The sequence below is a fragment of the Homo sapiens genome, chromosome 13 (genome assembly GCF_000001405.40).
Source record: "Homo sapiens chromosome 13, GRCh38.p14 Primary Assembly".
In the NCBI taxonomy this organism is placed as follows: domain Eukaryota; kingdom Metazoa; phylum Chordata; class Mammalia; order Primates; family Hominidae; genus Homo; species Homo sapiens.
Window position 1 is genome coordinate 91205140 of NC_000013.11, and position 26905 is coordinate 91232044.

General features: G+C 36.5%; 2 long non-coding RNA genes across 2 annotated transcripts in view; both read right to left on the minus strand.

Annotated features, from left to right (window-relative positions):
* The window catches only part of LINC00379 (long intergenic non-protein coding RNA 379), an 84086-nt gene extending 77527 nt beyond the window's left edge, over nt 1-6559 (minus strand). Inside the window, exon 1 of the long non-coding RNA NR_047004.1 lies at nt 6491-6559. This is a non-coding gene — a long non-coding RNA (long intergenic non-protein coding RNA 379). The remainder of the gene's footprint in view (nt 1-6490) is intronic.
* A 4009-nt stretch (nt 6560-10568) lies between these two features.
* Nucleotides 10569-11701, minus strand: LOC124903188 (uncharacterized). Its single transcript, XR_007063830.1, has 2 exons — nt 11613-11701; nt 10569-10727 (listed from the first exon to the last, which is right to left on the minus strand). It is a non-coding gene; the product is annotated as an uncharacterized LOC124903188 (long non-coding RNA).
* Between the last annotated feature and the right edge of the window lie 15204 nt (nt 11702-26905).

Below are 26905 nucleotides of genomic sequence, written 5' to 3' on the forward strand. Positions count from 1 at the left end.
GCATTTTGCTTAGGAAGAGGTCATTTTAAAGCATCAGCTGGCTTTTTGAGGGAGCAGCATTTAGTAGCTATATGACATATTCTAACAAGATGGTGGAAAATGATAAACTAAAAATTATCCGGATGCAAACACCTAGAAACGCTGGATAAAATCCACCTAGATCCATAGTTGAAAGTCCAAGAATAGGAATACTCAGGAGTCAGAAACAAAAGAGAGTTGAAAAACTAAAGCAGTATGCGAATATCCTGGCAGCTATCCTTGCCGTGGATGATAGATGTGGACAGCTTCCATAAACTTACAGCCTGGGTTTAAATACCATGAGTGACAAGAAATGAGGCCTTGGGCCCAAACAGGAGGGGAAGTTAGAACTAAAACCCCTACCGAAATCTGGGACCTCAAAATATTTCACTATCAATGACAAGTAGACTAAGGCAAAAATATACTCACATACAAAATAACAAGGAAGCTATGTCTCTGCCATGGGCTTAGGTAGGGAAAAAAAGAGACTCTCCCCTGAGTATCAAAAACCATTGACCAGCACCTTGCATGGATTTGCAGTTCAGAATTCTCCTACTAGTTTGTTTAGGAACTCCCAAGCCAAGATATTAGCAACAATAGCAAAATGATTCTGAGTGTTGATAGCTTGTAGGGTATCTGGTAGAAGCAAAAGCAAATCTGCATTGGAGTGCCACGACTTCCACCTAAGCTCACTACATACCTAGAAGTACACTAAAATTGCAATGCTAAAGATATATTTAAAGTTACTTTTAAATATTCCACTATGAGCAATGATTAGCAGGGACAGCCAAAAGGATTAGAATCCCACAAACTTTATATTATAAAAGACTCTGATAAACCCTCTGGAAATGAGCATGTTTAAAATTATTGAATGAGAAATCAACCTCTAAAAAGAACAAGACACAATGGAAAAATACTGGCTAGCTTTGAGAAAGAACAATTCAAACTTGTAAAAGTAAAAAATATAATCATAGAAATTAAATCTTAATAGGCAGATGACACAGGAGATAAAACAAAATATAAGGCACAATTGACAAATTGAAAGATAAGGAAAATACCTAAAATGTATCAAAGAGGGATAAGGAATTAGGAAAATAAAAGACTATTTAAGCATCAAAGAAAACAAGATGAGATGTTCAAATATACAGCTATTTGGAGTTCTGGATAGTGATAACAGAGGGAATGTAGAAATATTACTCAAAAATATAATGGCTGTGAATGTTACTAATTGATAATGTATTCAGGCTGTCATTCATGAGTCAAAAAGCAAAAGATCCTCTCAAGATTAATAGATGGGTGGGTAGATAATAGATGGATGATAGATAGATAGATAGATACATAGGTAGACATGTATCTAGATAGATAGATAGATGATAGATAGATAGATAGATAGATAGATAAACAAATAATATTGAAACTGTATAGTTACAGTCATAGAGAAGGTATTTAAAGCAACCAGAAAAAAAGGACAGATTATTTACAAGGGATCAACAATAGACTGACAACAAACTTCTGAACAATAAAAGACAGAAGACATTACATTCAAAAGTAAGGAGAAAGTAAACCGTTAACTTAGATTTCTCTATTTCTGTAAGGCAAATAACTCTGTCTACTATTGGAAAAAGTGAACTGTATATTACATTTATTTCTTTGGAGAAACTTTCAATACGGACTATAACCTTATTTGACTACATTACATACATCCTTCTAAAAGGCAAAATAACTGAATAAAAATACAAAACAAGATCCCTTGCAGCCCTATGATTCAGCAGTTTGGGGATTTAAAATCCAATACTTCATCTTTGAAGATGCTAATTTTGAAAGTGAGTGTTATTCTTCCAGGTCCCATGTGCCTCAAAACAAACAAAAACTACGAACAAACAATGAATATGAAATCTCTCCTAGAGAGATTTAATTTAATTTGCCCTTAAAATATGACATAAAACCAGCAGTATACAGTAGTCATCACTAAGTTTTTTGTGGCATAACTTTAATTGGTTCGAAAATCAACGGCCACCAGATCTTGCTCTATTTATAACATTAAAAAGCAGGAATTCGTGGATTTCTTACATTTGACCACCAAAAGATATGCCAGCTCTGAGTTATTAGGCCGTGCTGCCCTATTTAAAAAACAAAAGCAGAAAAGCCAATTAATACACCTTATTATTAAAAATTGTGAGGTTTTGACACTGAAAGGTATTTTTATCTTCCAGCTTGGTGAAATATTCCTAGCGGAATTCATACGAAGTGGAGAGCCAGCTGGGAAAAAGGGAGGCTTTGAAGTGGCTGTGCCTGGGAGGGACTCTCAGCGTCAAGGGGCTGCAGAGCTCTGATATCCTGTGGGTGCCTGAAAGAAGCTTTTTCTCTGTTTATGAGTTCTCAATCAGTTAGATACTTTCTGTCTTCACTAATAATTTTCATATTACAAATGTGATTACAGAGGTTTACATTTTTTTCCAAACCAAACAACTGGGTAAATTTCAATATAAACTCTTTCCAGTCTATGCATGTATAAGTATTTTAAACATTCTACATACCTTTAAAAGATACTTGGACTGCCTGATAAATAAGGTTAGCAATTTTAATGACTGCAGTTGAATATCTCTCTTACAAGAATGGAGATAACATTAATTCTTTCATATTGATTAAATCTTTAGCAATTTCCTAACTGTATTCAAAAATATATACTCTATGCCCAATAAAATCTGCAGATTAAGAAATAAGCTACGTTTATATCGTGTAACTTCCTATTATTTTTCTTCATAAACTACAATGACATCTTTAATTTTTTTTTTTCAAGACATCAAAACAAGAAAGAAAAAAAAATATTTAAAGAATGAAAATAGACCGGGCCTTCACATCCAGGTTAAACAGATATCTTTGTTCAGAACTACGGACAAATACATAAAACAGCCAAAAGTCATCCTACTCACAAGCACCTTCAGGCTATTACAAGAATTGAAAGGTAGCCAAAGATTTGTTCTCTAACAAGTACTCAAGTACTCTAATACTAACATGAAATGGTATGACAGTTACCCTCACAGGATGATGACTTTTGTTTCATAAACCATCTTAAACACTAAATTATTAAACTGAAACTTGTTTTTGTTTGTTTGTTTGTTTGTTTGTTTGTTTGTTTGTTTTTTGAGACGGAGTCTCGCTCTGTCGCCCAGGCTGGAGTGCAGTGGTGCAATCTCGGCTCACTGCAAGCTCCGCCTCCCGGGTTCACGCCATTCTCCTGCCTCAGCCTCCCGAGTAGCTGGGACAACAGGCGCCACGCCTGGCGAAACTTAGTTTTTAAATGATGAAATTAAAGTCACATGTTCATATCCCAGAAAAAGGTGAGTGGAAATAAGTCTGAATTGTGTAAGACCATTGGGTATGCAGCCGTGATTTCAGGGGAAGCAGCATAGACGTTTTTCAGCTTGTGTTTAAGCTTGGAGTGAATTCCATGGCCTCCCTAGGCCTGTGTTGTCTTTGTTATCACTGCATAGTGATCCCTGCATATAAGGAACAAGGAACAATAATAATAGCTAATGCTTACTAAATAGTGAATATAAACCAGCCTCGTTTTAATCATTTTACATATACCACCTCATTTAGTCCTCATAAAAACCCTGAGGTAGGCAGTCTACCTCATGTACAGTTCCATTTGACAGATAAGAAAGGCAGAGCAGGGTTAATTTACTTGCCTGAAAATCACTGTTAGCAAGAGATGGGCTATTTGAATACAGGTACATTTATACATGCACACACAGAACCTGTGTGTGCACACGTGTGTGTGTGCGTGTATGTGTGTGTGTGTGTCTGTGTGTAAACACAATAACATAAAACCATTCTAATTATTTTCAAGTATACAATTCAGTGACATTAAGTGCATTCACAACATTGTACAACTATGACCCTTATCAAGTTCCACAACTTTTTCATCATCCCAAACAGAAACTCGCTACCTTTTAAGATGAATTCTCTTTTCTCCCTCCCTCAGTCCCACAGCCTGTCTTTTAAACTACTACTTTCTTCTTTTGAGTAAATGAAGTAAAACTGAATTTCTGTAACAAAAACTGAGAAAGAAACAAACTAAAAATCATTTTGTCATACCAAATCCTTAGTAATGGAAAGTCTGAGGATGTATTTTAGGCAGAATAAAGATAATACCAGGGAGAAGGTCTGAGTATGAGAAGGGATCATAAGCGGAGATATCATTAAATTTTTTATTAAATCTCAACAATGATTGAATAAAGTAGTAGCATTTAATTTCTGTCTTTAAAGATTAGCAGAATTAAAATATCAGGTACCACTGTATGTAAATTAGAAAGGAAGTATGATCAAAGTTAAAGCATTTTAAGGTTCTTGTAATTTTCAGGATGAAGGTAAATGTTTTGATACTTCTAGAAGAATAGATGTGGAACACATAGCTGCTAAACAAGTTGAGGAGAAAAAAGTAAAAGGAAAAAAAAGACACAAAAAAATGAAAGAAATATATACACACACAGCACAACAAAAAATACTTGGCATAGCTATATTGATACATAGAATAAAATATATATCATGAAATACCTGCATTAGAGAAGTAGAAATGCTCAACATTAATAAGTTTAGTGTGCAACCCAGAAATTTAGAAAAAGAACAGAAAATCAAAAACAAAGGAAATAAGAGGAAAGAAATATTTAAAATAAAATCATAACAATGAGAAGCAAAAACATACCATAGAGAGAATCAACAAAGCCAAAAATTAAGCCTTTGGACAGATTAATAATACAGAAAGACTTCTAGCTAGATCAACTGAAAGACAGATAGAAGACACAAAATAAAAAATATTTGTAATAAAAAAGAGACATTACATGCTACAGAGATTTAAAAAGGTGACAAGTTTTTAGGGGCAACAGTAATGTCAAATATCTTGAAAATGTCGACAAAATAGATAAATCCTTTAAAAATACAAATTCCAAACTTTACTCAAAGAGCAAGTAAAAGTTTAATAGTCTTAGAGCCATTAAAGAAATTAAATCAGCAGTTAAAAATCTTCTCCAAAAGAGAACACCAGGTCCAAATGGCTTTGTAGCAGGTAATTCCAATCCTACACAAGTTTTCAGAGAATAGAAAAAAGTGATAGTCTCCTCAATACATTTTGAATGTAGTTCTCAAGCTTGAGATGGAGCACTCAAGCTGTGATACCAAGGAAAAACAAGGAAAACATTACTTATCAATCTTACTTATGAGCATAAATTCAACAAATTGAGCACAGCATTGTTTAAAAGTGTATATATGTCATGACCCAGCTGGAATTATTTCAGAAACATAGGATTGAATTAATAACAATAAAGTATTAAAATTAGTTACTACTCTAAAAGAATAAAAAAGGAAAATTATGTTATTACCTCAATGGATTCAAAAAAAGGGGGGTGGTGAAATTCAGTGTCACTCATAAAAAATCCAAGCAAGGAGACTAACAAGAAAATGACAAGAAAGAAATTTCCTAACCTGAAAAAGAACATGTATAAAAATAGCAGTAAAATAAATGCCACACTTAATGGCAAAACATTGAGAGTATTTGCTTTAAGATAAAGCAGCTTAATGACAAAGATATTCATTATTATCACTTCTATGGCAAAAAAGTAAAACAAAGTAAAATTGCATCCATGCTTTGTATCATACATAGACATTAACTTTAAATGGATTCAAGACTAAAACTTAGTTGTTGAAGACAGTTTATCTTCATGACTTCAGAATTGGGAAAGATTTCTTAAGACCCTGAAAATTCCAATTACAAAGAAAAATATTAATAAACAGTTCATTAAAACTTCAAGCTTTTGCTCATCAAAAGATATTGTAAAAGCAATAAAGTAAGAGCCATATAGTAGAAAAATATTAGCTACATGCATAACTGCCCAAGGATTAGTATTCATATATATAAAGAACTTCTACATGTTAATATGAAAAATAAAATCCACTAAAAACATGGACAAAAGACCTCTTCTGAAGTTTCAAACACCATGGAAGGAATCACACTTTATTGTGTAATCATGATGTCACCTGGTCTCCTCACTACTTAAAATCTAAATAAGACTAATTCAAACATCCAATTGCATGGATTGTGGAAATTCAAAATCTTCCCTAATTATATTCAAATTCCTGGGAATGGAGAAGGTGGAGGTATGCCTTAAATTCTCATATTCTCTTATGATATGATTTTCTTCCTCAGGTTGAATTTTTTACCCCTGCCCTGTGTCTCATGCCTATTTTTATATGTTCATCCTGGGGTCATCCCAAATATGGAGCAAAGGTCCCTCTTCTAACCCATCTCCCAAAAGCTACAACGAAATCAAGCCTATTAACTATAACAAAACTTCTACTGGAGACTTCGGGGTCCCAAAGAGGTTCCAGCATATTCCCCTAAGAAACTTTCACTGACAGATTTATGCCATGTAGCACTCCAGCCTTTAACCTTTCTGGCATCTCTGACACCCACCTCACTTCCAACACTACTTCTCTGGTCCTACCGTCTCTTCTCCACCTGGCTCACAGAAGCAGAACTGTTCCTTCTTTACTTTCATTCCTGCCAATACCCATTCCCTCAGGGTCTCCCTGTCCTAGTGAATGTTGCATAAACAAAACAGTACTGCCCGGAAAGGAGTTCAGGAGGCAGCTGTTAAGATAACATGTTTTCACCCTGCTGCATTTTAAAGAAACAGAACTATGCCAGGATTTGTAGTAAGTAATGATTCTTGTAAAGGTATCTCATACATTGAGAATTTTGAGATCACTCACATCTATTGAAAATTGATTTGAAAGTTAAGATTTATTAGACTGTACCTCTGCATGCTTAACTTTTGACCATATTCTAACAAATTATCATTTGTCCAGACATACGTTTTTAATGTGTTTAATGTCCTATCTAATTCTTCTATAACTTTCAATCAACCAATCCGCCTATCAGCATATCATAAAACAAAGGTGGTTTATTTTAGATTAGAAATCTGCTTTACTTTTCAACAGAGTTTAACACTCTTTGTTTTATGCAGACTTTATCAAGAATATTATTTCCATTAAAGAACATCTACATTTTAGGGTCAGCTGATTACTAGAATATTTTACAAGTAATTTTTAAAGTTGATTTTTTAAAATAAAACGTCCTCCATGGACATATGTCTTAAATCCATCTCCTTCATCCCCACCGCAAGCAATTGTCATGAATGTGACATCTAGCTTGGGTGCCACCAACTGTTCTCCAAATAACAGCTAGTTAAGATCGGAAGCAGTGACCAAAGTGGTTCCCTAGTCATGACTGTGATTGACAAGTTTCCTAAACCACTTCCTCTTCAGGTAATAATGTCTCTCGGTTTTGTGACTTTTTTATCTCACGTGGGGTTGAAAATTATTCTCAAAATTAATTGACATTTCATTGATAAAAAGAAGAGCCAACTACCAAATTTTTAATAACAATTAAAAAGCATTAACATTATTAACACATGGAACAAAGCTTAACACACTCTTTTTGTTCCTTCAGTATCCCTCCTCTTCTTTAAATATTATCACTTTCTTGTCTTAGGTTTCCATATGTAAGAATTGACAGCTAGCAAAACTCACACATAAGTGTTTCTTTCCACAGTTCTCTAGGACTTCTCAAGCAGTTTTCACTACACCATAATGACGTTTACAAATTGTGACATGGAAACTTGGTTGGCAGTTCAAAGGAAAATTGATTTTTTTACTATGAGATTTTAAAACTTCACTTTATGGGGAGACTTTAACACCATCGATGTAGAGGGACGAAATCGCCATAGCCTAACAAGGTCCATAACAGTTACTTCTGACAAAACAAAAACAAGACCTCCTTGTCACCTTGTTTCACAGCTGCCAGGGTAATCATAAACACAAACTACTCGGGGTTTAGTTTGGAGGAACAAGACGGCTAACCTAAAATAGTAATTAAAAATTAAGCCTCCAGCAATCCATTTTGAAAATTTCAAGTCTTCTAAATTCTAGTCAGGCAGGAAATATGTTAAGAAGTTATGACCCTGGTAGAAGTCAGGATTTCCTTTTTTGATGGAAAAGTAGATGAAAACAGAAAAACTGAATCTTAAAGTGAAAAAGGCAAATCTCTCTTTATCAAGTATTTTAGCCTTAGTTGTCTTTTTTTCTCAGCAGGTATCTTATCTAAGAATACAAAAGAAGGAGACTTGGAAATTACATATGAATACAGTCAAGACAATAGTTTGCCTCTTTCAGGATCTGAAAATGGTCCCTGACATTGGATGCAGTGATCATGCAAAGAATACATACATATTTTTATTTTATATGAAACACATACATTTATATCTTATATTAAAATAACTATATTTACAATTGTTACTAATTTTTTCATCTTAAAAATAGCCATGGATTTAGAAATGAATCCTATGATTTGCAACTAAATACTTTCGGTTTTCCAAAAGTATAATTGTTCTGAAAAGGCTAGCTACTATATAATTTCAGCTACATGGCATTCTGGAAAAGGCAAAAGTATGAAGACAGTAAGATGAGCAGTAGTTGGCAGGGGCTGGGAGGAGGGAGAAGGAGAGACACATATGTCCATAGGTGAAGCACAGAGAATATTTAAGGTGATACTATATGATACTTTAATGGTTACTATATGGCATTATGCATTTGTCAAAACCCATAGAACGTACAACACCAAGAGTGAACCCTAATGGAGATTATAGACTTTGGGTGATAAAGAAATATAAATGTATGTTCATCAATTGTAACAAATGTACCATCTGGTGAGGGTCCTTGATGGTGGGGGAGGCTGTGCATTTGCAGGGGCAGGGAGTAAATGTGAACTCTGTACTTTCTGCTCAATTTTGCTGGGAATCTAAAAGTGCTCTAAAAAATAGAAAAGTATAGTTGGCAACTGAGATAACAACATGGTAAGAGATGGCAGTTACTGCTCTACCAAACCTCACATTAAGGAATCAAAAGTAATAGCAATAAATATTTTAAGAGGAACTATATATGACACTTCAGGAATAAAGTTTGGCCTCAAACGGAAATTCTTGTACAAAAACTTCATAACCATTTGATTGCATGCAAAACAAAATCATTATAAAGGGGTACATATCTACACATATTCTGTTGTAAGACTAGAGGTTGCAAAAGAAGTGGGGCTTGTTCAGTGTGTTCAAGTTGTGAACAGATCCATGCTTTAGCAACAAGACTTCCTCAACTGAAAATAGAACTTTTGAGTTCAAGTTTGATCTATTCCTTTTTTCAATGATGCTGAGTCGTTTCCTCTCTTCAGTCTTTTTCTGAAAAGCCAAAACTTTGAAGGGCTCAAAAAAACTGGAATTTCAGGTTGTCTGAGCCTATAAGAATGTGCATGCTGTTCCAACACTCATCTGCATTTAGAAAAGAATATCATCCCTGTTTGATTCGTTCTTGTGGAATGAGCTCATAATCTGGATTCAGTTTTTTTTTCAACCTTTGCACCCATTTTTAAGGTAATTTTCATGACACCCTCTTTACGTAGCCATTTTAGGAATTACCATCTCTATTGTAAGGACCAAAAAGGAGAGTGTTAGCAACAAGATCATCTGACTGGCCACCTAATGCCAAAGGACTATGTGGAGGATTAAAACTGGTGGCAAAACTTATTTTGAGTCCATGTGTATAAAAACATGGTAGCTCTTTCTTAGGTAGTCAACTAAAATTTCCATACATCCTCTCCATGATATTTCCTCAAAGAAATGCTCTGATATGCAGGAATTTTTTGCTACTGAATCTGTGCTGTCTTCCTTAGTCTTCTGTACCCCAAAATCTCTAAATAAGTTACTTTAAAGAAAAGAAAAAACTCAAAAAACAGACATTTCACATTATATATTTATACCTCTAAGTTTTCTTGTGTATGTAATGGCCTTTCAAGTCAATATAGAATGGAGATAAATTTAGAAGACTTCTTATTTCTAAAGAGATAATTACAGAAAAAGAATAAGCCGAGCATCTCCTAATTTTCTCTGGGATTTAGAGATAGTTGGTGTATACCTATGAATATTCTCAGAGATGTTTAATTGGACTAACGTTCTGAAAAACTTGGATGCCTAAAAGGCCAAGAGTAGAGAAATGCCATAAAGTGAATGAAGAATTGGATTGAATACAAAAAGAAATTGTATCTCATATGAGGGTAAATCTAATTTATAAGTGAGAAGTACTCAACAATGGCAGGTCCAAGTTCAGTTGAATCTCCTTTCTTCAAGATTTCTAGCTATTGCACATAGGCAGAAGAATGCTGCCTGTGAAACATTACTCAGTGAAAAAACTACACATATCCTTAATAGAAAGAGCACTTTGAAAATTATATAATTTTCATAAGAGCTTCATAAATATCTCATCCTGTGATTTACAAAAGCACGCAAGATCTAATATCCTCTAGCCCAGTAGAAAGCAAGATGACCTAAAGTTTACTATATAACATAAAATGTACATATAATTTCCTTTCTCCATTTTTGGTTGGCCAAGCTTTAAACAAGCTCCAAAGCCACTCAGTTCTACAAAAGACAATGCCTAAAATAAAAGCTTGTATGTTTCCATTTATTCAAATCTTTTCAGAAAATAAAAACAGTAGAAACAAATTATGTTTATCTGAGGACAGCAGCGCTGACAAGAGCAGGAGGGTAGATTGATGATCAAGATTCTCTTCCTATCGCCTACAATTATGATGGATGGTGGAGCTAAACCGCAAGTCAAAGAGATATAATGCACTTTTCAGTATTTTTAAAAGTTATTCATCCCACTCTTTAAATTCCAAAAATGACAGAACATTTATTCTTTCATGAGATTATATTCACTGTGAAAATTTTCAAAGAAAAATAGTTCTTTGTTGCTATTGAAATGTTACTAGATATATGTCAGTTTTCCCACTTCCCATTTTCATGGGACTTAGCTTATGTGCCACCCAGATTCCTGACTGTCCTGAACTCTACTTTTTAGTGGAGCCAGAAAAGACATGCAAAGAATAGATTCTAGGTCCCGTTGTAAAACAAAAACAAAACAGGATAATTCACCTCGTTTCAAATCCCAGAAGTGGATCTCCCTTGCCAGAGGAGTCGAAAGGTTGCCCCGAAGGATGTGATGAAATAGAGGTTTGTCCCCCTGACCCCATTTCTATGACATCAGCTCTGCTTTTGTTTTACTTATTGGGCTTCCATGTTTTTGCTTAAGGAATGGGCTCAGCTGCATCCAGATTTTAAAACCACTCTCTAAGAGAATTTGATCACTGCATTTAAGCACATTTGGTCTGATGCTTTATTTTTATATCTATTTCTACTGAGGAAAACAACAGTTGCTAGGTTGGCAATAGAAGTCAGGGGACTAAGTGAAAGAGTATGAATGATCTATAATTTGCTAAATAGCTCAAAGTATTTCATAAAGAAACTACAAAAATAGCAGGTATAGACTGGGGAAACCCTAGACATCATTATAAAAAAGAAACGTCCTCATTGTCACTTTTGTAAGCCTGTCTTCTAGTTCCCCTTCTATTCACACAGGTCTTGATACCCACTATTTTGTATTTTCCCTTCTCATGTCAACATTACACCCTTATACCCGTAGCTTACCTTATTTCAATCTGTTAGTATGTTGCTCTCTGCATTGGGAAAGCCTTCTTTTTAAGGCATTGTCCTCTGTTAATTAAAGGCATGGGAGCATAATTTTCAGACCTAGAAGAAATAAAATTCCTCTGAATTAAGCTTTTAAGGAAGATTAACTTCGATACACTTTGCAAAGACTCTCAAAGTATAAAATATATCCGTTTATTTTTTAACAAATATTTGTTGTGATTTTACTGAGATCCACATAGTCCTTTTGAAGAACACTCCAAGGAAACTTAAAATCTCAAGGCGGAAGTATGACTAGTGCGGGTGTGGCTTTCAGCCTTATAAACCCAGAATCTCAATTTCATCGGTTTACCCAGAAGCAGAGAGGCTTTATAAATGTAGAGCAAAGATCACAGGATTCTGAGTCCAAGACATAGGTTTGAGTTCCTGCTGCACGGCTTCTTAGCTGTTTATGTTCTTAAGCAAGTGACTTAATCCCCTAAGAAAAAAAAATGTTGAGAAATAACACTAGTCTTGCAGGATCGTTGTGAAGATTAGATGAAATCGTGCATACAAAAAGGGTTTTATATACTGTCCTAGGTTAAACATGTGTTGGTTAGATTTGCCTCTAGCTTGAGAGATACTCCCTAAAGAAAAGGACTTCTACGTGCCAGTAGGCACCAGCAGGGATTCCCTGCGGGCAACCTTTGAAGGCTGATAAGCATCTCTAACAGCTGCATAAGAGAATACACGGACCAGCTAGAGGGCAAGGGTCATGCCCTTTGCCCTTCTGCTCTCAGCTCAAAGGACATCTGCCAAAGATCCCCTGCAGGGAAATTTAACTCTAAGGAGAGAGGCCCAGCAAACATTTTAAGAGATCATTACATGTTCTCTTACAGACCTATCCCTTCGTACACGTAGTGTCTTGCCCCTATCTTCCATCACCTGCTGAACTTAACATCCTATATTACTCAGTAAAAGCCTCCACATTTTTCAAAGTCCATCTAGATTCTTCAGAATTGTTCAGGTTTCTCTCTCTTCAGCGTCTGCAGAGAACCCACTCTTGGCAACCTCCAACTCCTTTCCCCTAACAGAGTTTTTTTAAAGCAGGAGTCGTGTGTTGTTCATCTCTGATCGATAAAGGTTATTCTACTCTGCAGTTTCTCTGAGACAACTGCTAAGGATACTCTCCTTTGCACCTGGAGTTCTTGAATGTAGTCCTGTCCATAGCTAAACTGTATCGGAATCACCTGAGATATTTTTTAAATTAAAGATACCTTGATCTTTGCAATTTTGTTTCAATAGTTTTAAATTAAGGCCCTAGGGACTATATCAAAAGTTTCCAAAGTGGAAACAATTTTAAAACTCCCCAGGTAATTCTGATGCAGTTTATCCATGGACAGGCATTTGGACCCACTGAATTCAATTGCTGTAATTATCTTGATGAGGTTTAAATATTAAAACAACAACTTGGTGTTATTAAAATGTTTACAAATGCCTTCTTAGAGTGGGTGAATTTTATTATTTTTTCTTTAGTGTATGATTTCTGCAGTTAGCTATCTTTCATATTATATACTGAATATTCGTTATCAATTTCATTAAGAGTTCCTGTTTCTGACTTTGTTTTCAAATTGTCTAGTGCTTCTTTCAAATTGTCTAGTGCTTCTTACTACAGATTCCAAATGCCTATTTGGTTGTGAGAGTTGTATACCTTCCACTTACAAAATTGACCTAGAAATTCATTATCAGAATAACTGCATAAATGCTAGACAAGAAGCATGAATCTATTTCTTTCAGAAAAGAACCTCTTACATCTACTGACTGCTTCTCTGCTGAAACTGTGGCATTGGCATCTTTATAGAAGAATAAATAAATGGTTCAATGTGAGCAATAAGCGATCTCGCGACAATAAAGAAACAAACGAACGAAAACTCAGGAAGTTATTATGACTCTCAAAGCTGATTTCCTCAATCACATTGGTTTTGAAACCAGACAAAATATGGGGTATAACATTTAGAAAAGTGACTTTTTAAAACAAACCTGCCATATGCCACACACCCAAAAATTGTTGACTCTTTATAATACTTTTTTAATATTGGTTTTCATTGGTGGCTTTAGACATTTTTTTCATTGTTACTTCTATAGAATCAGGGATCTTTTCTGAAACTAAAAGAAAATGTCTTGAAAAATAAAATATAACAAATTGTGTTGATAACAGATTTGAATTTTGAAAACAGCTAGGAGATATATGGCTTCAAGTCTTATGAAAAGTTGGGGAAAAGAAAAAATATGATTATATAGTAAAAATAATGTTTGGTCTAATTTTAATTTAGTTTTGAAGCCAATTGCCAAAGTTTATTTCTAAAAAGTTTTAGAAAATGATACTACCAATTGAGTAAGAATAAAGCTCCCCATTTTGTAATCTGATTTTGATAATATTTATTCGGATGTTTATGTGCTAGAAGGTATGTTTATGTGCTAGAAGGTGAGTAAAGTCAATCATGTTTCATAAACTTTGAGATAAATTATTAGTTTAATATTGGGCTTTTTAGCTACTTTAAACATTTATATAATTTCAAAATTAAACATGTCTTTTAAAAAAAGAAAAGAAACAGCTTTCCCAATTTGCACAAGGATAGCCAGAGCAACAGATGGCCACTGTCTGTTTTTCTCCCAGTCCTCTTCTCTACTTAGATTTTTTGTAGTGTTCAAAGCGGTTCTTCATTTGAGAGCAAGAATTTAGAAAAAGGAATATTCAAGGTGCTAACTAAAAGAACTACTTTCATGGAAAGCAGAAAGTTCTTGGCATGATAAAAATAAGCTCCTTAAGAGGCTCAGGAAACAGCATTGCATTTGAGGTGTATTATTGTTGGATGCACAAAGTGTGCAGGAGATGTGAATAGTGGAAATGTGAAGGTGGGGAGGAACCAAGACCCTATCCAACTTTGGGCAAAACTGAAAAGTAGACTAAAGCTTGTGTGTGAAGCTCGTCTTTTCCCTGTTTAATGATCACATCCCATCTCCCAGTGACCCTCATTAATATATTAGCTAATAATTCTTAAGGAATACAAAGGAATCAACTCCAGCAAATAAGGCAATAAGTGAGCTGGGGATAAAAATGTTTCCCCCTCAGTTTGGGAATAACTTCACTATTGCCCCTTAAAGGCAGCCTTGAGATTGTTATTTTATTCTCTCTTGCTAGATATTACCCTAGAAGTATATTTGTGCCTTCCTGTGAGGTTCTTAAGGAGAAAACAGTGTTCTGAATCCAGGGAGAGAAAGCTGTGATGTCAAATCTGTGGCCCTTTCCTGACTTGGGAAGATGCTACTGTACAGAGAGGCCTTAACTCTCACTATCCAGGTTCACACCAGGTGGTGGCCACCGATTCTGCCTCACTGTGGTGTTTACTTACCCTGTTCCAGACACCCAAGATGTTTTCCCTGCACTGCCACATGAGTGGCATGGCAAGATTGTTTATTAAACGTAGGTAGGGCACGATGGCTTACACCTGTAATCCTAGCGCTTTGGGAGGCCAAGAGAGGAGGATCATTTGAGCCTAGGAGTTCGAGACCAACCTGGGCAATACAGCAAAACCCCGTCTCTCCAGAAAAATACATAAATTAGCTGGGTGTGGTGGTGTGCACCTGTGGTCCCAGCTACTTGGGAGGATGAGGTGGGAGGATCACCTGGGCCTGGGGAGGTTGAGGCTGCAGTAAGCCATGATCAAGCCACCAAACTCCAGCCTGGGTAACAGAGTGAGACCCTGTCTCAAAAAAAAAAAAAAAAAAAAAAGTGACACCATTGTTAAAGAAACAATTATTTAGGCCAGGCGCGGTGGCTCAAGCCTGTAATCCCAGCACTTTGGGAGACCGAGGCAGGTGGATCACGAGGTCAGGAGATTTAGACCATCCTGGCTAACACGGTGAAACCTTGTCTCTACTAAAAATACAAAAAATTAGCCGGGCGTGGTGGTGGGCGCTTGTAGTCCCAGCTACTCGGGAGGCTGAGGCAGGAGAATGGTGTGAACCCGGGAGGCAGAGCTTGCAGTGAGCCGAGATCGTGCCACTGCGCTATAGCCTGGGCGACAGAACGAGACTCTGCCTCAAAAAAAAAAAAAAAAAAAAACAAAAGAAACAATTATTTAATGATGTTTGTTAAAGCACAGTATGAAAAACTTTATTCAGGACCATTGCAATAGGTATAGAGACCACTGCAATAGAGTCTTGTGGTTGGGGAGATCAGGCTCAACTCCAAATACAGCATGGGCAGGTGGGAATTTACATCCAAGGAGCAAAGCAGGGGGTCAAAGGATGGAAAATTACTAAGAGGAAACATCAGAGGTAAGGGGGATTCTGGCTAAACCAACCTAACAGGATTCTTGCTGAATGCAGGCCAGGGTAATGAGACGTCACCTGGGGGATGGTGAAGGATGAAGAATCCAATCAGATATCTGGTGTGAGCAGATATTGAACTAAACTGCCTTGCTAAGCCAGGATGTTATAAGGAAGTACAGAGATGGGCTAAGGAGAAATTTCAGAAGCCTGACTGAAGTTTGGCCAAGCAAAGGATCTTTGTGACCACATGGCAGTGGCATCCAAATTAAATCAAAACTAGAAAAAAGAATTCTTTAACCTTGACCTTGAATGACTGAGCCAGTTTTCTGGGGGTTTTTTTCTGTGTTAGTTTGTAGCAGAAACCAGAACTAAATCTGTTTGCTGAATAACCATAATTGTGTCTTGGCATTATTATCACAGGAGGAACACAGCGAAGGGAAGGAAGTTATTCTTGCAATAACAAAGCCATCCTACTTCAAAATGGAAAGGGATGATCTTCACTTGGGGAATGTCACATTGCATTTGAGATGTATTTTTATTGGACGCACAAAGTATGTATAAGATGCAAATAATGGAGAAATAGAGGTGAAAGGGAACCAAGATCCGTGAAAGCCCTCATCTGCTAATAGGATTCCTGATCCCTGCTTTTCTCTAACCAACACTCAGTTGGAGTTTGGTTCAGTATCTGTTATATTTCCCTAAGTAATCTGCTTTTTTTTTCCTACCTATAAAATAGGAAACATAACAAAGTTTGCAATCTAAAATAAGTATAGTTACAAACTTCAAGATCTGACTTGAGACCTGAGTAATGCCACTCTGAAGGTTACCCAAGTTTTATCTTCCTATCCCTCCCCAAGGCTGGTGTGATTTAGGAAATCAGAATTTACAAGTATGTTTTATACATATTCATATTTTCATGATGCAAATGCATACGGTAGACCCCATTAATAAAACCATATATTTAGTCCTACCCATCTTTCCAAAATTATTTCATCTGTCATCTTTTGATAGAAATTGCTAAAAGCAATATTGCCACTGAAGGAAAGAATTCAAATTTATTCTCCAGAGCTAAATAGAAATAAAATGAATTCATGTGACTTTCAACTCGATAAAGTAATAAAATGACAAAATTTTATTACTTTTTGGTCCAAAGACATATTTTAGTGTGACATAATCATTTATATTCATGTAATAATAATGGCACCAGTAATAACAATAAACATTCTGTCGTTTGCATGCGGAGATGAGTCTCCTAACTAAGCATGCTAGAAGCTCCAAGAAAACAATTATGAGGTCAAAGAAAAGTATGCTTTGGCACTATCCTAGTTCCTCTTCAGGCAATCTTTCCCAGTTCCTGGAGCACAGTCTTCTGTTTTCCATTCTCCACTCCCTCAGCTCCTTCAGTGTGTACTATTCTCATAGATACTAAGTTTCCAGAAGGCAGCAGCTCCTTGACTCATTTCCCGTTCCCTGATTTTCCCAACATTTTCAACCCACTGATTGCAGAATGCACACCACCTCCTAGCTCCAATATACCACACCTTCAGATTTAGCAATATAGTAATCCATTCCTTGCTAGCATGAGTTTGAAAAGATACATTTAAGCTGTCCAGCTTTCCACATTCTGTGGGGCTCAGTTTTGTCACTCTCTCCATTATGCATCTCGAAGGGTTTTCTTTCTGCCAACCTGAAACTCCCCATTTGTGCTGTGAATCGTCTTTGCGACCTTAACCCAGTGTCCTTCGGTACTCACCATGGGCTTTCAGCATTGTTTCTCAAATCAATTTACACTATCACAATGGTGCCTCTTTCTGAAAATGGGGGACCTGATCCCTACCTTCCTTTAACTTCAAAACTATAACCCAGTTTGCAAAACTAGGTTTCTTTCTATCTTGGTTTATATTATGAGAGTTGTGTTCTAGTTACTTATTCAAGTATGCAGGAATTAGCAGTTATTTATGCTTAGTTTCTATAACCAAGAAGCATTTAGTGTTTTGGCTCTTTGGTTAAGGAATATGATTAATATGGGATCATATTATTTAGTCAATTTAGCTAAAATAGAAAGGCAGTTGATTAGCCCACCAAAAATTCATACTTTCTAAGTAAAGCCAATCATCAAACCTCAAGTTCATTTCTCTGATTTTCCAAAGCATATTAGAATGATCTATATTTTCATTAGCAATTCTGGCTGGTGGATCTGGCTTCAACCTTTGGAAATTTTATTTTCACAAACAGCATCATCCACATCACAGCTTAGACCCTATATCAGGGCAGGCTTCTTAAGAAATAGTAAAGAGTCTAAAATTTTTAACCTGCTTTTAAGTTAGCAAGTTGAGCAAGCTTCTGCCAGTTCCATGGATGCTGGCAGAAGATAAGAGACTCCTGGGTCAGAAACAAAGCACAGTTTATTACTTGCAGAAAGAGCATTGGTTAGAGTGTCAATTTTCTTGTGCTGACCCCTATGTCCCAATTCCCATAAGACAATGTAAAAAGGGTCTGGTGACACCTGCATAAGGAGTGAATGGAATTACAGCAGAGTTACCCTGAGCTTAGGAAATCCTAGTGTTTTATAATATACAGTAACACGTCCTTGGTGAAAATAGCTCCGACTTCTGAGGCTGTTTGCCACACAAAAATCCTTTAAAAGAGATCCCTGAACAAAGGTTAGTTAGTCCCTCTGCTCGCAAGATGTGCAGAAAAGGAAGAAACCCATGGAGAACTGTCTCCCAATGATATTTCCTCTTCATTTCTATACTCTTGTCTTTTGGTAAATTTTCTCTTGAGTACACCACTTCATCAGCCACAGTACTTAATCTGAACGGAGGCTGGAACCAAATTAAATGTCAGTGCCTCCTAACTGGGACCTATATCAATTAAGGAAACAGGAGGCAGTGCTTCCAACACAATTTCTTAGATAACTGGCAGGGCTTAGATTTCCAGTTCAGTTCAAATAATTAAATCTACTCCTTGTTTCTGAAGAGACTGCCTCGGGATATCAGTCCAACCTGCCTGTTTTTCCATGTCACTACAATGGCTGCAGGAATGGGGTTAGAAACAATATTCTGAGGTACTGATGGGGTATTTTGCACTATAAGTGCAGGAGCTCGGCCCTCCCTGGTGTTTCCAACAGACTCCCAGGTAAAGTTTTAGGGAGTACAGATCGAATCGTAGTCAAAATCATGTGGCAGAAGATGACAGACCAACCGTTAGTTAACTATTTCGAGGTGTTTACAAAACTTTCAGAGAGCCTTATCAGAGTATTTTCCTTTGTGAAAAAAGTTCCAGTGTTGATTCTGAAAGTCAGTGATCACTAATGTCCCTCATTCTCTTGTACTTCTCAGGGTCTACAGTGTTTCCCTCCAGGTCATTGCTCACATTTCACCTCCCTGCAAAACCTCCCCAAAAAAGCATGTCCTAGTCCAGTAGCTATAGCTTTACATTTTTTTCTAATCTCCTCCTAGTTGCATCCAGACATTTCATCAGGAAAAGCCAGCCACAGGAATGATAAAGGCATTTTACTAAATCTTTCAAAGACCCATTATGTTCTCTATTTTGTCTTATGTTGTCCATTTTGTGGGAATTCATGACTAATGTACTAAGCCAAGTGGTCATTAGCCATATGATCTTGGATCATGTCAATTCAAGAATAGAATCCAGGTGGCTGAATCAAATAAAGTTTGAATCTCCTAGACCAGGCTGCCATCCAATGGAGGCATAAACCACACTAAAACGGTGATGTCATTAAGGAAAAAGAAAGAAGAATCATGCCCAGGCATGGTTGGAACAGAATCCCAAATTTTTCAAAGTAGGTCTGTATAACTTCCCAATCCAATGCTTTTTGCCTCGATCATAACCCAGGAAGTGGCCTAAAGGCGATAATCCCTTTCTGAGAACAGTGCATTCAATGAGCAAACTGCTTCATGAAGGTGTATGGATCAGAAGAAGGTGAGAGAGGTAGAGTCAAAATGTTTTTGAGTCAACTTTTGAGGGGGCCATTCCAGTGCACCAAATACCAGATGCCTGTGGAAAGCACAGAGCATGAAAAGCTATTGAATATTTTGACTATCAGTCCACGGCCATGTGGCTTTTGTGTTAGAAGGCTCACAATTGTCGGACTAAAAATGGCCTGAAAAGCCAAAAACATGACACATTCGATTAGTTCAAGGGCCACAATGTTGTGACCAGAGTCAGCTGATCAGACTGCAACAACTCCATACCCTGACAAGTATCAACAGCAATCAGGCCACCTTTATGGCCCCAAAAGGAGCCATATGCCTGATAGACTCCCAGGAGTAAGCAGAGGTCATAGCCCATGCAAAGTGGCCTCCCCATCAACTTTTGGGGAAAGTCACAAATCTTTCATGCAGTGGTAGCTCTGCATTCAAAGTATAAAGTCTTTTAATTTGTGCCCAGTCTATGATGGTCAATGTGTTATGAGTTCTGATACACTGAAAGATCCAGCTATTAGTGTTGTCACCCAGGGCAGTGCAGGCTTGATCAGCAGCTTCACAGCAGTCAATTTCATCATAAAACAGACACTTACCATAAGCATCTGCATAAGTGATTCAGATGGCCTCCCTTTCCCAGAGACTATAACAGGCAAAATTGCCACTCATGTGGATTGTCATCAGTCAAAGCGTTTTGGACAACTTTCAGAGATGCCCATTGATTCAAGCACTATTCAAAGGATATGGATTTGCAGAATAGCTGATATAAAGGATCAAGTAGAATTGCCAACTGAGACATACTGTCTCTAATATCCCATAGTTCAATAAGATGCTGGGCCTCCTTTGGTGGTGAGGCCTGAGAGATTGTCCTTTTTTTCTTTTCTATCATTGGAGGGATTGAGTGTTGTGCATCCATCCATAGTCCCCTGAAATTTTTACCTTCACACACTCACAGCACTTTGCACTTAGGAAGGACTCAATAAACATGTGTTGAATTTTTAGATCATTCTGGAGAGTAAACCCCAAGTAGTAGCTCTGAATTAATTACTCATTCTACTACCCTATTGCCATTTACATTCATTCACCTATGTCATTTACACTCATGCCATTTACATTTACATGCCATTCACAGATGGCATTCTTAAAAACTTGGGTGTCTAATATAAACAGAATGTGAGCCCAAAGGCAAAACAGAGTTAAAAGTCAGTATCCTACAGCGGGGCAAGTAATGGTAAGTGTTGGAACATGCATTCCAAAGTTGAAAAGAAGTAAAATTTTGAAAGCATTTCCCAGAATAAGAATGAGGTCAGCATCCCAGGCACTAAAATGTTTGTTCCCAGGTCAGCACCAGTCATCTCAATTAGCCACACAATCCAGAATAGACAAATACAAAGATACAGAAAGCATATTAGTGGTTTCCATGATCTAGGGGAAGGAGGGAGGGAAGGAGTGACTGCTGAATGGGCATGGAGTTTCCTGGAACTAGATAGTGATGATGTTTGCACAACATTGTAAATATACTTAATGCCACCGAATTGTATACTTAAAAGTGGTTAAAATAGTAATTTTTATGTTATATATATATTTTACCAAAATAATAAGAATTGTTAAAAAGATGATTCATACAATTGAGAATGAATTTTTAAGTTGGGAACTCTGAACCCATCCAAGGAATGGTGCTGGCGGAAAGAGTGATAAATGGTAAAGTAAGGAGGTATAAATCTAAAAATATCTACAAGAAAAGATGAATAGATACATATATTAAATATAATCTAATTTCTGTTTGACCTTTATGTATTAGCTTGCAACCAAAATTTTACTATATTTAAAAATATTCCAATGTATGTAGTTTAGTAGAAGTGGCCCACGAAACTTGAAGCTTATAAATCAATTAACCGTCAGGTTAAGACATTTAATCTCACTCTTCCCTTATCTTTTACATTTCAGTTTACTATGGTAAGGAATAATAATCTTATTTGTGAAATATAGAATTTACATAGCTACATTCATTGTCTTGAATTCTAAACCCAAGTTATGGCATTTGGGGTTTTATTCTTAGTTTTGCCTCCAATACTATAGAATTATAGCTCAGGGGCATGGTGAGTAATGAATTTAAATGATTTCTTCTGATACATAGTTTCACCACTAAATATTTATCCCTGTTGGATGCTCCAACATTGCTTTTTAAGAGTGAAACTCAATGAAATTATATAACTGGTGACTGCGCTGAGCACCCTGTGGCTGTTCTATAAATATTAATAGAATCAAATTGCAAACATAGAGACCAAGAATGCCTAGAAGAAGTCCTTGCTGAATAAGAATCACCTCTTTCAGTGCTATAACATAGAAAACATTAAAGCCTAAAGAAGTCTTCTTTTTATTCAGTTCTATCAAAATATGTTAACTCAGGAAAGCATCTAGGGATATTTTAATTTCTGAGACCATCTGTCTCTTTGAATGAGCTTCATTTAAATGAATGAATTTTCACTGATGCTATAAAAATTGGTCAGCAGCAACTGATTACTTGGTCAACCAGCTTCTTCCTCCTCTCAGTTTCTAGAACAATTTTTATGCTTAAATGATTTGTTACTTGTTAGAGCCACTCTATCATAGGGTTTTCCTCTGTTGGACTATGAGATCCCTGAAGGCGAGGATTATATCTTACTTATATTTGTAGTCCTAGGATCTAAACAAAGAGTTAATTAGCTAAGTAGATATTTCTTAATAAAGATGGGCCACAAATAAGTGAAACTTTTCATCAGCAAGTTTGCCCTGTACACAGTAGTTGGTTATAGTCTCTTAATCTGATAAAAAGAAAACAAATGAGAATGTTCCCTACAGGTTTAGTGGGAAGGAGGATCCTACTTTAGCTCCTATAGGGTCCCAGGGTAATAGGGAGAAAGTAGATTAGGGGAATTTGGCATATTTTGCTTTATAGGTAAACTGGTTGTAATATCTTCTCCAACATCCATTCTGCTCCACTATGTTCCTTTACCATAACAACAGTCACCCATAATGAATGATAGAAGGTTTTGGTTGAGATAGATTGACACTCCTATCCTGTCTTTTTATCACCTTCCACAATGAAAGAACATCAGACCATTCATGTTCCAGAGGGTTCTTATCATTCCAGACTCCTTGCTCTACCACCCCCCACCAACAAACTAAGTCCAATATTATGCTTTCAGTATCCCACGTTTCCCAAAGTAATAGGTAAGTTGGATTAAACAAGATTAGTTTCTGATCATGAGTGTTATGAAATCCAGTTAATAAAAGAAAATGCAAGATGGCTTGGAAGATATCCTAAGGAATTTAGTTGAAACACAAATCCAAGAAAGTAACCACAAAAACCACATTTACTCAGTACTTTTTTTTTCAGATACCTAGTCAGAACAGAAAGAAATAAAACAATGATAAGAAAAATATCATGAATAACCTTTGTGGAGGGCTTACTAGGTCCCAGTTACTATGATAAATATCTTACATATATTAATACATGTGATTTTCACCTCATCCTCATTAGGTGGCTAATATTATTATTATCCCCATTTATGTTTGAGGAAACTGAGGCAGAAAGTAATTAAATGCCTTGTTCAAAGTTTATCCAGGCAGCAAGTGGTAGAGTCCAGAATGAAGCTGAGTTAGCCCTCACTCTTATGCTAGAGACAGCTTCTCCTGGAGCTGTGTCAAAGCTGCGTGTCTTTCATCACATTTTCATCCTATTCTCTGGAAATATTATGACTTCATATGGCTTCATATTAATAAAATAAATAAAGGTTCAGTTTTGTAAAATGCAGAAAAATTTCCTACAAACCTGGAACTGCAAAACATTCTTATCTCTCTATGTCTCAGTCTCTTTCTTCCTGAAAAAGGCTGAGAAACCTAGTAGCTAAAAAATAGTGATGTCACTCACAAGAAACTGCTCCTTGCCCTGTTCCCTTCTCCAATTTTGGGCCTCAACCAGTTGGAAACTGGCATCAGTGTGCATAATGATGACCTCCGGGTGATCATTTTGAAATGACTTTCCTCAGTGATGTTAGATTTATCTGATGATTTTAATACCCTTCATTTTGAAATGCTATTATCCTGAGTGCATGCAGGGGACAGTACACTTAGTCATAAGTGATGGATGAATTCATTATCTTCAGCCAATTTTAATGGGTCATCTAGAAAGGAAATCACCAGTCAGTTTTGGCTACTGAGCATACTACCTCAAGCACCTTATTAAGCCAAATATAACAATAGGGGGCTTTTCATTTTCCTGTCAGACAACAAAGGTCACCTATCACAAGCTTGAGAGGCATTAAGGTTTATTTCTCTTTAGCCTGAAAAAAAACGGATAGAGTTGAAGTTTTTATCTTTTTCCATTGTGAACTAAATATTTCAGACTGTGTGGCCAACGAAGAAGGAAAGTGCTTCACAGGAATTCAGAATGAGAAGCTTTCTCTGCTGAGAAATAGTGGTTGGCATTAATGTATTCCCTGGGTGACATTATGAATTGAATGGCCCTGTTGAATTGTAGGCCTTCAGCCCCATCATTAAGAGCTAGAAGTAAACACATTGGTGTGGAATATAAGTAGGTATGTCTGTGGGTATCACTGACTCTTCTATCCTCAGGTACTAGAAACCAAAAATATCTGATACACACAAAATAACTGCTATTCATATCTCAACAAATCTTTTCTGTTCTTGGTTGGGAATTCTTGACTTTTAATCTTTTAAAGTATCATTTTTCATTTGACCTATCAACTTGGACTTTTCTCTATGACCTGATTCTAAGCATCTGTAGCTGTTGAGTACAGTAATGGCAAAACAGGTATAAACTTCAGGATCTATGTTTGCTTCTAGCTAAGACTCCCCTGCTGTTAGTTCCTAGTCATATAAAAGTGACTTGACATCATTTTAATGCATTTACATATTGAATAATCATTTTGCATTATCTTGAAAATGAACAGATTAGCAAATTTTGTTAGCAAATTTTTGAATTGTACAAGGAAGATTTTTAGGACGATTAAGAATCAAGGAGAAAAGCATGTTATAAATATTCTAATGCCAATATGTTACACCAAAATAACCTCAAAAACACATTGAGACTATACTGGGATTATTGGGTGGAATTCAAATAGAAATAACTGCCCAAATGCTCAGAAAATAGTAGCTGATCTATCTGATTGCTATTTGATGTAGCTCATCATTTTAACATCCTTAATTAGAAATAATTATTTTGTTTATCTTGTATGGTGGTTATTAGTTGTGTTTAGTAGTAAAACATTATTTAACAAATAAAACATCTAGTTTACAGTCCCATCAACAGTGTAAAAGTGTTCCTATTTCTCCACATCCTCTCCAGAACCAGTTGTTTCCTGACTTTTTAATGATCGCCATTCTAACTGGTATGAGATGGTATCTCTGCATTTCTCTGATGGCCAGTGATAATGAGCATTTTTTCATGTGTCTTTTGGCTGCATAAATGTCTTCTTTTGAGAAGTATCTGTTCATATCCGTCACCCACTTTTTGATGGGGTTGTTTGCTTTTTTCTTGTAAATTTGTTTGAGTTCTTTGTAGATTCTGGGTATTAGCCCTTTGTCAGATGAGTAGATTGCAAAAATTTTCTCCCATTCTGTAGGTTGCCTGTTCACTCTGATGGTAGTTTCTTTTGCTGTGCAGAAGCTCTTTAGTTTAATTCGATCCCATTTGTCAATTTTGGCTTTTGTTGCCATTGCTTTTGGTGTTTTAGACATGAAGTCCTTGCCCATGCCTATATCCTGAATGGTATTGCCTAGGTTTTCTTCTATGGTTTTTATGGTTTTAGGTCTAACATTTAAATCTTTAATCCATCTTGAGTTAATTTTTGTATAAGGTTTAAGGAAGGGGTCCAGTTTCAGCTTTCTACATATGGCTAGCCAGTTTTCCCAGCACCATTTATTAAATAGGGAATCCTTTCCCCATTTCTTGTTTTTGTCAGGTTTGTCAAAGATCAGATAGTTGTAGATGTGTGGCATTATTTCTGAGGGCTCTGTTCTGTTCCACTGGTCTATATCTCTGTTTTGGTACCAGTACCATGCTGTTTTGGTTACTGCAGCCTTGTAGTATAGTTTGAAGTCAGGTAGGGTGATGCCTCCAGCTTTGTTCTTTTGGCTTAGGATTGGCTTGGCCGTGCGGGCTCTTTCTTGGTTCCATATGAACTTTCAAGGAGTTTTTTCCAATTCTGTGAGGAAAGTCATTGGTAGCTTGAAGTCAGTGGGATCTAGAACTAGAAATACCATTTGACCCAGCCATCCCATTACTGGGTATATACCCAAAGGAGTAAAAATCATGCTGCTATAAAGACACATGCACATGTATGTTTATTGTGGCACTGTTCACAATAGCAAAGACTTGGAACCAACCCAAATGTCCAACAATGATAGACTGGATTAAGAAAATGTGGCACATATACACTATGGAATACTATGCAGCCATAAAATATGATGAATTCATGTCCTTTGTAGGGACATGGATGAAGCTGGAAACCATCATTCTCAGCAAACTACCGCAAGGACAAAAAACCAAACACCGCATGTTCTCACTCATAGGTGGGAATTGAACAATGAGAACACTTGGACACAGGAAGGGGAACATCACACCCTGGGGCCTGTTTTGGGGTGGGGGGAGGGGGGAGGGATAGCATTAGGAGATATACCTAATGTAAATGACGAGTTAATGGGTGCAGCACACCAACATGGCACATGTATACATATGTAGCAAACCTGCACATTGTGCACATGTACCCTAAAACTTAAAGTATAATAAAAAAAAATAATAATAAATAAATAAATAAATAAAACATCTTAGGTGAAACCTCAATAAATCAAATATAAAGGCAGAGCTGCTCTTTAGAAGGGGGAAGTTCAGGGAAGCTTAGAGTCAGCCTCAATCTGGACTCTACCACTTGCTGCCTGGATAAATTTTGAACAAGGTATTTCATTACTTTCTGCCTCAGTTTCCTCAAACACAAATGCGGATAATAATAATATTAGCCACCTAGTGAG